Below are 15423 nucleotides of genomic sequence, written 5' to 3' on the forward strand. Positions count from 1 at the left end.
ATCTTTCTAGTACTATATATTGATATAACATTCCATGTATTTGTTTGAATATTTTATGAGAAAGCAATAATTACAGTGATACTGAAGTAAATCATAATTGCTAACAACCTATTTATTATATTAATTATAAGTTTTCTTCTAGTCTATAAATAAACTATTCCCATAGAAAAAAATCAATGTTCAATATGAGATGTGCTATAAGTATAATGCCCTATAATTTCAAGACTTAATATGAAAAATAAAATGTAAAATATATTAGTAATATTTTATATAGATTATATGTTGAAATGTTAATATTTTTGCCATATTGCTTACATATAATTAAAATTATTTTTGCCTATTTCTTAAACTTTTACATGGCTACAAGAAAAATTAAATATTTATATATGTGTGTTATATCCTTTTTGGCTGGTGCTCTGCAAAGGAGTCTAGAACCATGTGGAGGTTAATCAGAAGGTGAGGGATACCAAAGCTCTCCACGGGAATGATAAATGGGGATACTTCATATTACTGTGAAGCCTTGCTACCATGCAAACAACTTTTATGTTACTGACATTGGGAGTAGTAGATTCAGTACAAGAATTTTGGACCTAGAAAGAACTCACAGTCCTGAGATATTAAGTAATCTATTCAGGTTCACAGACTGAAGTCGGTATTCATATTTACTAACTTCTAATCCAGTGCTCTTTCCAGAACAATACTTGTATGAAGAAAAATTAATTCCTGGGAATCTCTATTTCACTCTGTTTTCCAATCTTAGCTTCTATGGCCATTTCCTGCTACTAAAACATCTGCTTTGAAAAAAAGCCCTTGTCACGTTGAAAAACTAGAAAAATTGTGTTCACTTGGAAATCTGACAGAGTATATGACCACAAAATCTGGAGTCTCATGTTAGTTATGAAAAATCTAAACAGTAATTGCTATATTTTCTGTAGGGAGGGAGGATATTATCCAATGAAATAAGGTTATGTTCTTGTTAGTTTGATAATATGATGTTTTGATTTGAACTTTTTCAACAAACATGCACTGAGTATTATGAAATTATTACCTTTCCCAATAAGGGTCTTATAATTCTTTCACCTCAAGCTGTTTTATAACTACAGATTCCTTCTTGAGTTTTTCAATAACAGCCGGTAGTACCTGAACTAATAAAAGGTTAAATAAACCTGTAATAGCAGATGGTATTATTATTTGTTTCACTAGTATACATACAGTAGCAATGAATAGACTCTGCTGATATCTCATATGATTAATTTGTAATATATTTGTCTGTTAAATGTTTGACATAATTTAATGGGGATAATTTTTATTATAATATCTATTATATAGATACTTGTAATTAAGTGGTTGTTTTAAATTAACAAAATGATAAATAAGCACTTATATTAAGACTCAGAAAAGGTGTCTTGGAGTACAAGGTGGACCGCCCACCTTGTGCACAGCAGAAGTAGATCCCTACAAAATTTTCAGTTACAAGGAAGTGAAGCCTCTAGTGAAACTATCTAATATTCACTAGTTGGGTGCATCCCATCACTTTTAAGACTCATGGGCTATCAAGAAACTTTTTATCTAGAAGCTTTCTTGAAAAGGGAAGGAGGAAGTGATATAAGCCCTGAAAGTTTGAACATTTATCCTAAGAAAGCTGACTTTTATTCTAGAAGAGATTGGCAAATTTTAAGTTTATTCTCTTATCAGCAGGAATGTGGGAACAAACAAAATAGTTATGCAAAATGATCTATCATTTTATCAGTTTAATAATTACCAAGTACTACATTTGAACCTAGTTTAAATTTTAGAAAATATTGTCCATATTATAACTAGTTATTGACAGATTATCTCCTATTTATTGTAGTTGGTACATTTAAAGATAGTAATTGAAATAAAAATCATTAAGTTGTATGTGGATTTTTACAAATTCCATGAGATCATAACATGAGGCTATTATAATTTGTCTTTGACTTTATAAGTACTCCAATAAAGAATAAATAAATATACAAACAAACCCATATTTACATGTATTGAACACTGTCTTAAAATTGCAAAGGTAAGCATTAAAGTTTTGGGGTTTTTAAGTAAGACTATCCATGATATTTTCTTTTTAATTATAAACCAGAGTCACTACAGTATCAATGCTATGAAGATTAATCCAACTCCCTAGAAAAAAATTGTATAAGGGATTCTCTAATCTTCAAAATCCTAAATCCTGTGACGATTTATTAAGTACACTCTTTTTTTCTTTATACTTTCCTGCTGTACTTTGACCCAAAGCTTATTATTTTCTGATTTTAAGTAATTATTTTTATCAGAATCTGAATTTAATGTTTCTACAACTACTCTTTTCTCATGAATGATGTCCTCTAATAATTCTGGCAGTCTCAACATTAATACATATTGTTAACTCCTAATCAGAAAAAAGGATTATAAAACAGCTAAAAAAGATAAAGGAAATAATCAACATGACTCCTAAAATTATACTTTATTTCTAAAACCTTATTTTATATATTAAAACTGTACCCCAATTCTAAACACAGTTATATGGATTAACTTTTAATTCATGAATTTTAAAATGTTAAGAAAGATAAAATGTTTTACTAGAAATTGTTATATTGGACTAGAGTTAAGCAAAAAAGTGTCACTAGCATTGTGTTTCCAATGTAGAATAGTTTGTTCAGCTTACCAGGGTATGTTTCACAGCAAAAATTTTATTTCAGGGAAATTTGAAGTAAAACAATATTTAGCCACTTTTCTATCAAATACACATACAACTAATGAACAGAAATTTGAGACAGGAGGTATATAAAAAGATTGCCAAATCTAAGGATTAGAATTATTTTGTTAAAAGTGTAGTCAAACTTTCATTTTCAATATTGCAATAACTAAAACTCCTTCTTTACATTTATAAACTTTCCCAGTATTATTGACTTAGATTTTAAATTAAATTAATGAATTTTATAAAATAGGAAAAATATAATTTAAAATCGTTCTTGATTAATTTAATAAAAGGCCTTAAATCTTATACTGGCATGACTGTAAAATATTCATTTGTATCACAGAATAAATGCTATCAGAAAATTTTTAATAATTGCTTTAGACAGACCAATGATTATTTAGATAGATCATTTTGATTATTAATGTTTGATTATTTTTGCTGTTTCTGTAGACATTGTACTAAAAAGAAGATGAGTCTCATAGACTGTCAGGTCCATAAAGCAAGAAGTAAAATAATTTTCTATGTTTTTGCTTCACAACAAAAATTGTTTTAAAAAAGAATTTCCAAGTGAAAGTATTTATTTAGCATTGAAGGAAACTTGAAGAAAGATGATAATAATGTCAAAATCAAATACAAAGAAAAAAGTGCAAGATTAGAGATTATTCTCAAATACTACATACCAATGAAACTCAAAATTCTGTTCTCTTAAAACTCAGTAAATAAAAGTAGCTCTCTTACTTCATAAGCTTAAAATAATGCAGTTGGCCTATGTATGAAAGCATGTTTTGAGATAATAATTTAAATATATTATTTATAATTTTCCCATAGCATATACTCAGTAAAAATTAAATAAAACCTACTATACTATGAAAATATATATATATTTATTGAATATTTCTGGAATTACACTAACGAAGTTCCATCTACAATCTTTACCATAAAAGTAATCTACTCATCTATGTCTAATATGGTTTGGCTCTGTGTCCCCACTCAAATATCATCTTGAATTGTAATCCCCATGTGTTGAGGGAAAGACCTGTAATCCCGATATGTTAAGAGAGGGAAGTGATTGGATTATGAAGGCGGTTTCCCCCATGCTGTTCTGTTGATAGTGAGTGAATTCTCAGAAGAGCTGATGGTTTTATAAATGGTAATTTTTTCGGCACTCACACATGCTCTTTCATGCCTGCCACCATGTAAAACATGCTTGCTTCCCCTTCTGTCATGAGTGTAAGTTTCCTGAGGCCTCCCCATCCATGCAGAACTGTGAGTCAATGAAACCTCTTTTCTTTATAAATCATCCAGTCTCTGGTGGTCCTTCATAGCAGTGTGGGAGCAGACTAATACAATGTCCAACATCCCTTTGATAATACAGTTCATCTAAATTGTCTGAACCAAAAGTTATTGGTCTTCTCTTTTCATGTCACACTCCTCCACCCTATCCTTAGAATCATAAATACAACTCATATTGAGAGTTATAACATTAGAGTAGGGGTTCATGACTAGAATGGTGGGATATATGATTCCCTGTATTTTATTAACAACGGATATGGTGAAGGTACAACAAGAAAGAAAAACAAAGATAGAAAAAATATATCATTGAACATATTAGTGAAAGCAAAGATTAGAATACCATCTCTCTTTACAGAAATTTGCTTTGATCCTGTGCTCTATTTTTAAGCCTGGACTATATTTATGATTTCAGAAAATCTGTTATAGAAAAAAAAATTGTTTCTCAGTTTTACTTACAAACTAGCCTATTTTAAAAATCAGTTCCAAGAAAAAGTGTTTTTCCCTTGAGAAACGTGGGCATCCTCATTTGTGATAGTGAGAAATATAAAGCCTAGTGTTTTATCTTTTTAACTGTAGCTCCTGGATTCAAATTTTATGTTTCATCACAATATTTAAACTATTCATTTTTCATAGTTAGAATGTGTGCTTTCTCATCTGTTCCATATGTTATTATCTCTTTCCAGTGAAGACTCTTTATTTACTTAATGTCTTACTTATACTATAAGAAATCTTTAGAGAACAAATGAGATCGGGCGAGTTAAGGGTGGTATGGCTATCCATTGAGGTGGTTTGATTATAAATATCAAAACTCAAATCTGACTAGAGGTAAAAGGGAAATAATTATAAGGTCATGGTGGGGGCTTCCAGAGCCAAAGGGAAATCTACAAAAGCAGAAACCTAAAAGGACAGGAACCAGGGCGTTTGGAGGATCTAGATAGCTAATCTTCAGGAAACTGAAGGATCCACTGGCTCCAACCATTTTTCTTCTGCTCTTTAACCACTGGGCTCAAGAGCCTGGGGAGCGAGTCCATTGTTTATGTAGTGGATTGATATTCAGTATCCATTCTGCCCTCATTCTAGAGCCCCTTCAGTCATTGTTAAGGCTAGAAAGCTAAACACTATATTCCATAGTATAGTTTGCAGACAGTGTTCCAGAAGGTACTTAAAAATATTCAGCTAGTCACATGTGTTTGTGTGAGGTCAGAAGGGCAGAAGTGAGGTGGAGGCCACATTTGTGTTACTTCTGCAATTTCTGGTGCAGAACATAGATTGCAAGGTTGTTGATTTTTCTGCAACAGCTTTAGCTGAAATCCCAGTAGCTAGCCACTTATCAGATACTGAGAGGATGGCATGGGTCATCCATTTTGTTGGTGCAGTCCCAGCAGGCATGTCGTGTCTCTGGAGCCAACAATTGTGGCCATGGTTTCTAACCTGTTAGTCACAGCTAACGTTCCTATTTCTGGTACCAGTGGTTACAGCAACAATCAGAAGTTGGCACTGTGGTTCCCACTTCCTTGGCTTTCTGATGTTAACAGTTCTCTTTGCAGACTATTATTTGTTATATAACAATTATTTGTTCTGCAAATAATTAGTGGAGACTCCATTCTCTGTAATAAATCCCCTTCTGCTTAAACAGGTAAACAGTTCCATTTTAGTCCAACTGGCCATCATGCCTCATATGCCTACCGCTTGGTGGGGCTGATTGGCAGCCCCACCAAGATTGCACACACAATGGAAGAGGGATAATTCCCCCAGAAGAAAATGAGATGCCCTTATCAAGAAAAAATTAAAAAGGGATGACTGGTTGTGGGTGGCAGAAAATAACAACCAACCATCCTGTAAATGAATACAAAGATAATTAATCATCATTTTCAGGGTATCTTGTAAGCCCATTACACAAAGCAAAGTTTTCTGAAGTCCTGAAATATTACAACACATTATGAAAGCTTAACTACCCCCAAGGGAAGGAGTCAGGGAATGTTTCAGAGACATCTGATCTCAGTCTTAAGACTCAAAGAAATATGAAGGTCTTTCTAGGTAGTGGGAAATTAATGACTTAATTTGTACTCTGTGTCTGTATGTGTGTGTGCACACGTGCTCATGCACATGTGTGTTGAGTATCTAAATAAAGATTGAAGAGTCAAAAAAAGAAGAAGTCTTAATACCTTTTAATTTACAAAACAATAATATGTCTGGCTACTGTGACTCTGTTTGATAAAAGAAAAACCAATGCTCAGAGAACTCAGCAATTAGTATCTTTATGATTCAATTCTAACCTTCTGATCCTATTCTTTACTTAATATACTATGCTGCATCCCCCAAAATCTTATTTACCTTTGTTCAGTAACTGTACACAGGTATTTATGTAAAAACTTCCCAAATATAAAAAATGGATGAACTATGCCAAAGTTACTTGTTTTTGACTGAAACAATGGGCATCTAAAATGCCAGAAGTCTCTGTGTAATTAAGGTATATGAAAGGGCATTTTCGATATGGTTTGAAAGTTCTGTCCAATAAATATGCTTTTCTTTCAATAGAAGATGCCCAGTTGATCCCAAAATGATCATAGCCTATTTGAGAATCTATGTAAAATATCATTATCTTTCATAACTTTTAAATATTGTGTGTTGCTATTAATATATCTTTATTTCATGAAAAATAAATTTCTGTAAAATATTTGCCTGCATAAGAAGAATCACATACAAAAAATTTTGGAAGAAAATATAAAAATCAAATTGTGATTAAAATGTAAGGAATTTAGAGGCTTGAATCAAGAATATAAAATTACTCATATATTTACATATTTAAAATTGATTAAATACTGCAATGCCTAAACTTACATGATAAATACAATTATATGAATGCCTATAGCTATGGTATTTATGATTGCACATTGAAAGAGAAATGCTGAATGTTGAATAATTTTAAAAATGAGATATTTCATACTTGTATTATTGAGCCTTATGAAATAAAAATACTTTTAATTAAAATCTTCTATAGGTAAGATTTTCTTTCTTGGACAATTGAGTGTTATCTAAAACTCCCCTTCCAATTTAAAAAATAAGTAAATATGACAATGTATTCATCGAAATGGAAAAGAATAGAGTTTAGTTTATACTAATGACCAAGTGACAATAATATAGAGTTTTCAAAAAATAAGTAAGAGGACTTCCAAACACCACAATTAAAGAAAAGTTTTACTATTTAGGTGAGAAGTAGCACAATCCAAGTTCTCATTAATAGAGGGTTAATGGAACTTGAATGGAGGAACAATAGTTTAAAACAAAGACAAATATAATGACATAATATTGAAGTGAATTTGTGGGGGCAGAGTTAAAAACTAAATAACTTTTTTTTTTAATCAAAGAAGAGACAGTAATAAATTATTTAAGTAAGAGATTTCTATTATAGGTAAACTAGGAAGGCAAAAGATGTTTTATTTTAAATACGAGTGGGCATATTCAATACAGGAGCTCAGAGTGAGAATGTATTTTACGTATTAAAGGCTTTCTATTTAAACCACATTTTTAATACTTTTGAATTGATATAGAACTATGCTTTTTAGCATGCTATTCTCAGTCTCTACTTAATCCTATTTAAAATTATAATATCTAAAGCATTCAGGAAGCTAGCATATAACATAACTTAAAGGTGGTTATATTTGGGAAAGCACAGCAGTGTGTGTCTATGTACCTACTCCATCAATTATGGAACACACTATAAAAAATAGCTAATGGCATTCAATGAACCCACTAGTAGTTTGCAGTTAATTTTCATGGTATTTAATAAAGGATAGAGATTAAATAGAAACGTTATGAGTAAAATATTCAGTCTTTGGAAACCTGCAGATTCCTAAAAATATTAAATAATTATAGGTAAATCAATAATAGTTACTGAGTACTCGGTAAATATATGAGTTATTTAGAAACTGAGCTGCATGGAGACTTAGTTTTGACTTTTGTATAATATATTACACAAAATTTTCAATCTTGAATTAGTTTTAATGTAGACACCACTAAAATGAAATAGTAGCATGGAACAATGTAAAAAGCATCGTTACCATTTCATGATAGGGCATGTATTTTGGCATGACAGAATTATGATTTTGCAGCCATTTAAGTTATCTTAGTACACATATATTTTTTAATTTAAATTTCTTCATTATGATTTCAAGATTTACTTCTCAATTGAATGTATGCTGTTGAGGTAGAATATTATTTTAAGGTAATGCAATCAGAAAAAGCAAGCCTAAATTAGGAAAGTTTTAAAAGAATAATATGCAAAGGCATATTTTTATAATAAAACTTTCCCTTAATCTTATTATAAAATCAAAGCTTCAATTTTCTTAACCACTGCATTTCCTCTGTTATATCGATATAAATCCCATCCCTCTTTTGAGTCCCTTTTCCTGCAGCAAATAGAAATAAGTTGTACCTCATAAAACACATCTTTTCCATTTTACTACAGTGATGCTACTTTTCAGTGCCGAAAACGCATAATGCTTGAAAACCACAATTCCAATCTTAAAAATACTGCAAAAGTCAATTAAAGACCAATGAGTAGCATGCTGAAATTTATAAGTAAGTACACAAATCGACTGGTAGCTTTGTGCCATTGTCTTATAGTGCAAAACAACCCTATCTGAAGGTACCAGCTCCATGAAATCATATTGCACAAAACAAATGAAATATCGCTTAATATTTGAGGTAGGAGATCTATTTTTTTGCTCCAGTTTCTACATATAAATATAAAATATATGCTACTTTATTTCTGTTTAGAAAAATAATAGAAGCCATTTGACCAGAAGATTCCATGAATCTAGTAGAAAAGATCACAGGAATCGAAGAGGATTGATTTTTGAATTTCTGCCATGCCATTGGCCTTAACTAATTGTAGAAAGGAATCAGAGCCACAGAGTTAGGTGGATGAAAAACTCCACAAGTAAAAGGGTCAACCTAGAGATAAAGAAGCTTCACAATATCTTATTTTCAATAAAATAGTCCTCTAAAGTACACAAACTTTTAGAAATTGAAATTGGGAACAGGATAAAATATTTTTGCAAATTTAAAAGTGACATTGCCTTAAACTGTTTAAGATTCAAGTTACCATGCCTAAACAGCTATTTTTAATAAAATATGTGAAAATAAATTTTTCTATGAAAGTTTATTTTTGAACTCTAAAGATTTAGTGTTTTGTGATGGCTAATATTTTCTATTATGATACATGTTAACACATTGCATAGTTTTAAAAGCATATTTGCATTTATGTTTCCATTCCAATTAACTACTTTAGAAATGATCATTATTGCAGATTTTCTACGTGGACTTTGTCGAAAATCTTGATTTTAAGTTACTTTCCTAAGAATTTTTATTACAGTGATACTCAGTGCACTATTACGAAAGTCAAATTACAAATCACATCAAGCTGTTGCAGTTTTTGAGAGAAATCTTATTAATAGAACAGCTTCAGAGAGGTTACTGGTTTTCAAAATACAAATTAATTGTTGAATTTTGTATTCCAAAGAACAATATATGATTTAATGCCATTTTGAGTACTAAATATAAGCTTCCTAAAGTCATCATATTAAATTTTCGAAGTGCTTAGGACTGAAGACTACTAAAGGGGAAAGCATTAAAAAAAACAAAAAACACAGATAAATGGAAGAATGTAACTGTGGCAATGCTTACTATTCCCTGAAAAGTAGCTGATACACTACTGAGAATGAAATGAATTATTTACATAAGTAGTCTGAAGATAAAGTACACTAAGCTCACATAGTATTACAGAACATTGTAGAAGCTACATTTTCATTAGTACTCCATCTTCATAATAATCTTGTTCCAAAGAGTTTTTCAAGTTAATGCATCAAATATTATATCCTATGTATTGAAAATTATTTATGTTAACACAATTGGTAGATAAAACTCCTAACAAGGTTAATTAAACTAGCAGTAACAAACATGCTGCATATGGAGGTGAGTTTCGATTGAGAAAGAGCGTACATGCAACTGAAGGTTTTCTGCAGTGATTTGCGGTACAACTTCAGATAGTATATCCAATTGCTGAAGCACTTTATTAAAGAAAAATATTGCATCTGCTACATACTACCTTTTAGAAATCATAATATTCATTATTCTGAATATTATACTATAAAATCAACTAACTTTAATACTGTAATTTAGTTATGATCACATTATTGTCTCAGCAACAGCATGACCATTTTTTTCAATACAAATTCCAATTTCTAAATGCTAAAGACATTTTTCTATCACAAAACATAGTTGTGTACACCAAAATTATTTTACATATCAAAAGAGGCAAAGGTATTCCATAAGTATACCTTGATAGGGAGCACTAAATCCACGGTATCGATGATTGCTGTCTGTAACAAAATGCAGTCTGAGCCAGTTTTTGTTGCTGATAATTGGTGGTGGTATATTCATTCCAGATAACCTGAATTACAAAAGACAACAACAAAAAAATTTAAAAAGCTTTTCAGCAGTAAACGTTTTCACAAAATTGGGACCAAACAAATGTCCAACTATATTCATGACTTTGCACTGTCAACTTTTTAAGCACAAATGAAATAGTTCTTTTATGCATAGAAAAGTCAATCACAGAATAGTGCAATTCCAAACACATGCTGTTCCAATCAGGTTGTGTGTATTAATACAATCAACTATAAAACTTTAAGTGCACATGATTTTTGATTTATCCAAATTTATTTACTGCACCAATAATTTATTTATGGTATTGTTTTATTAGTATTATATAGTTTATCATTTATTAATATGTTATATATTGTTTATTATTTATTATATCTTATTTATTATTTATTATATATATTGTATTCTTATTGTTAATAATAAACATAACAGATATTGAGCTGATGGTGCTAGTCAACGTGCTTCTCATATATGTATTGATACAATAAAGTTACAAAATCGAAAGACCTCATAAATTGATATCCTTATTTCCAGAGTGAGACTGTACAGTTATTTTCTTATACTCCCTCCTATCCACTTAATGTTTTTTCAGTATTTCTCACTGGATGGCAAATTTCACAGTTTATTTTCATAGAACAAGCATTGCTTTTATGTAATTTCATAATCTTATAAATGTTCATGACTAGCTTTCATTAGAATATATAATTCTGGCCGGGCGCGGTGGCTCACGCCTGTAATCCCAGCACTTTGGGAGGCCGAGGCGGGTGGATCATGAGGTCAGGAGATCGAGACCATCCTGGCTAACAAGGTGAAACCCCGTCTCTACTAAAAATACAAAAAATTAGCCGGGCGCGGTGGCGGGCGCCTGTAGTCCCAGCTACTCGGGAGGCTGAGGCAGGAGAATGGCGTGAACCCGGGAAGCGGAGCTTGCAGTGAGCCGAGATTGCGCCACTGCAGTCCGCAGTCCGGCCTGGGCGACAGAGCGAGACTCCGTCTCAAAAAAAAAAAAAAAAAAAAAAGAATATATAATTCTATAATGTATTAGAGGCCTGATCCAATGGAGAGGCAGAAAACAGATTGTATATATCCAAACAAATATAGTTGGATATGTAGTCTTCACATATTTGGTTGCAAGAATACCATTTATAATATACTCAAAACAAGTATCTTAAAACAAAATATTGGAACTATGCTCCAGATATTGGTCATGATTAATATATAAAGTACCTCTTGCTTTATAATTTTTTGAAGATTTCCAGCAAAGCAGTTTTTATGACATCATGAAATAGAAAAATACTGCTGTATTATACTTCTACCATATATCTAACCATTTAAATTTTAAGTGTTTGCTATAAAGCCAAAGTAAAAGAGTCTCCAAAGCAAGGCTATTACATAGTTAGGAAGAGTTTCAGATTAAGGTTTCTTAATAACACGTTCTTAATAATAAGAGTTTCAGATTAAGAGTTTCAGATTAAGGTTTCTTAATAACAAGTATATATTTCCTATTCTTCAAAGCTCACAGTTTTCTTCTTCAGAAGGCAAAATAAACAGCTGATTTATTATACTATGTTTGTGGGGTGGGAGTGTCAAGAGGAATTACAAATATTCTCTCACCTTTTGGCAATTAGTCATGCTAGGGGAACAGTAGAAGGAGGATGGAAAATCTGTCATTGTATATGTAATCAGTGTTAAGGTGTAGGTACAGGGATGCAAGGACCCTCTAACCAATACTCTTCATCTTTATCCCTGAAAACCCAACTTTCCTAAGATGTGTGGGAGCTAGCCACCACTTTTAGTGGATGACCACCTGCCCATTAAAATGTAAAATCACCTTTATTGTATTATTGTGTCTACTGGTGTACAGAATGTTGAATTCCAATATGAAAACATTGGGATAATTTTTATATATTTCTCATTTTTATTCTTGGTTTGCAGTGCATTTTCCGTAATGTTTCCCTATAAATCTATTTTCTCTTTTCATAGGGATGAATCTGTTTATTTGTTGAGCTGACTGACTTTTTTTCCAATCTGAATTTAGTTAACAAAAATATATAATATAATTGTATAATTTTAGACTCAAGTTTTAAAATTTGCTTTCATTACTTTCAGAAAATATACAGGTTATGTTTACTCTTGTTGATTAAAATAGTAACTCAGTGAAAAACTATTTGGATTTGTTTCAATTATATTTTCAATTGAGTAGCATAGTTCATGCCAGATTTTGATTTACAATTTGGTTTTGTTCAATTCCCTATTTCGATGAACATGAATATCCGTTAGGGAAAGTTTAAATTATTTTTGACAGGCTGCACACATTTCCAGATGTAATGAGACTACAATGCATGGAGGTGTGTAATACACCAAAGCAGAGTTTGGAGATGACCCCCTAAAAGACCCAGTTCAGTACATGAGAATCGGCTCCACAAGGACATTAAGAAATGCGAGAAAAGAAAAAAGACAAAATGTTCAATAAAAATGATAAACTTTCCATCTTTTCCAGGGACATGAAAGGTAATTTCAGTAATAGAGTACAGTAAAGGCAAGTAATAGCTACTGTGTAACTGCAGTTTGCAACTTGAATTTACTTTCAGTAATCTAAGGGAGTGGACCTGAAGAAAGTAGAGCTGCAGTAGGGAGAAGTAGAATGTGCATGAGGTGGAGCAAATAATGATAATTTAACAAGGGTGAAACTAAGAAGTATTCCTGACAGCCTCAATGCTTCAGTGTATGAGGCAAGACCTTAGATAAGCCAAGAAACTGAACTAGAAAGCACTTGTACCACAGCATCCCTCTGCCACCAGAGAGAAATATACAGTCATTGGTTATAGGCGAGTCACATGGGCTTTGAAAATCACAGTCACTGAATAATGTTCATTATTTACACTCATTCTAAACAATATGGTTTGGTTTATGGCTTATGGAGAAATCTCACAAATAAATCTCTATATCTCTGTCCTTATTTCACATGTTATCAGGAAAACCAGGAAATGAGGGATTGAGAATATATGCCACTTGGAAAGATTCCATTAAACTACTTAATTTAGATAATTACTAAAGGAGATATTCTAAAATATAACTTATTGTTATCCCTGTGTCAAATCACTGTGGTCATTTAAGAGTAAGCAAATTCTAGCATAAAGTCAATGAGAATAATCTTTTAATAAGAAATAGATTGTACACATTTATTCAACAGTTATTTACCAAACATTAACTATATGACAAATACCAATGGTAAAGGTTGGAAATATGATAGTAAGCAAGAGAAAAATCATGGTTTTATACAGTAAAATTAAAACATACAAACAAATAAATAAATAATATATATTTCAGATAGTGGCAAATGACATATAACAACAATAACAAAAAACCCAGTAACATGATAAAGAATTTCTAGAAATAAAGTTTCCATTGTTTTAATATATTTTCCATTTCACCCTAAAAATCTCCATACTCAGGATTATATGTCTTAAACCACTAAAGGGGATTTAGGATAATTATATCAAGAAAAATATGGTCATGATAAATGTCATACATTTGTTCCCTAATACTCTAGTTATTTGTATCAGAAAATTTGACGTGTCTCTTGAGTAATAAATACATTGTAATGGAATTACTAAAAAATTATTAATGACATCAAATTTCATTGCATGTTTAATGAGGAAAGAAATACTGACAATAATACAGAGTAACTTATAATTAATCTTTGCAAAAAATTTTTAGTTCTCCAATTTACTGCAGAAATAATGATTAAATCATCAATTTATATTTAAAATCCTATATGTTTCTATTGTAATTAATCCTTTAGAGAATGTAATTATAATCCTTACAACATGATTTTAAGAATTAGTTAAACATAAGAAAATTGAGAGAATGACAGCTTTTTTGATAAAGTTCATAAAACTATTCTGAGCTTATTCTTTTTTTTCTTTAATGTTAAACCGCTTTTATTATAAGATAAATTGTCAGGTCCTCATTTCAGCCATATCTGGTTTTCAAACTTTCTCAAATTTTGTAGTTTCATCAACAGCTATCATTTTTGATTGCTCTGACATCTACTTTTTAAAAAAATCTTCCCAATTCCCTAAAATCATCCAAATGTAATGGCCTATCTATATTATCCATAGGTGGAGTCAAATCTTAAACTCAGGATTTTTCACATCATTACCTCCATGACTTTGTATCCCTCTTTTTCACAATTCTCCCACTTTCCTCTAATTTTACTTGTCTCTCTCTCTCTCCCTCTCTCAAGCATGCTCCCGTGCTTTCTCACTCTCTTGCTTTTAAACCAGTTTTGACCTCCTTCCTTCTCTAGCACTTAGATAAGATGTATCCATCATGAATCTTCATGAATGTTCTTTATGACCTTGTTAGATTATGGCCCTATGTTGAGCTGCTATTAGTTGCTCAAATTTTATTCTTTCATCTTATCCCTGGAACTTTGCATATACTTCGCTTTGAGGCTGAAATAAATATCCTTTCTTTACATTTATTGATTTACTCTAAATCTTTCTCAGGAAAACCAGACAAAGTTCCATGGTTAAGAGAGGTGCCCAATCTCCTTCTCTGTCCTCACAGACCACCTGCACATGTTCTCATCATATCTTAATTTTTTATGTTTAACAGACACATAACAATTGCACATACTTATGGGGTACAATGTGCTGTTTCAGTACATACATACATTGTGTAATGATCAAATCAGAGTAATTAGCATATCCATCACCTCAAACATTTATGATTTCTTTGTAGTAGGAAATTCAAAATCCTCTCTTCTAGCTATTTTGAGATATAAAATATCTTTTTCGTTGACTATAGTTACCCTACAGTGCAATAGGACACTGGTACTTATTCTGCCTTTCTAGCTATAAATTTATACCCATTGACCAACCTCTCCTATCAACTCACCACCTTCCTCAGTCTCTGGTAACCACTGTTCTATTTGCTACTTCTATGAGACCATCGTTTTTAGATTC

General features: G+C 31.4%; 1 protein-coding gene across 9 annotated transcripts in view; it reads right to left on the reverse strand.

Annotated features, from left to right (window-relative positions):
• The window catches only part of CSMD3 (CUB and Sushi multiple domains 3), a 1214012-nt gene that overhangs the window by 785795 nt on the left and 412794 nt on the right, over positions 1–15423 (reverse strand). For all 9 annotated transcript variants that reach the window (NM_001363185.1, XM_017013010.2, NM_052900.3 and 6 more), the window contains one exon: positions 10345–10457. In NM_001363185.1, coding sequence (NP_001350114.1) covers positions 10345–10457 — 113 coding nt within the window. The remainder of the gene's footprint in view (positions 1–10344; positions 10458–15423) is intronic.

This window comes from Homo sapiens, chromosome 8, assembly GCF_000001405.40.
Source record: "Homo sapiens chromosome 8, GRCh38.p14 Primary Assembly".
Taxonomy (NCBI): Eukaryota; Metazoa; Chordata; class Mammalia; order Primates; family Hominidae; genus Homo; species Homo sapiens.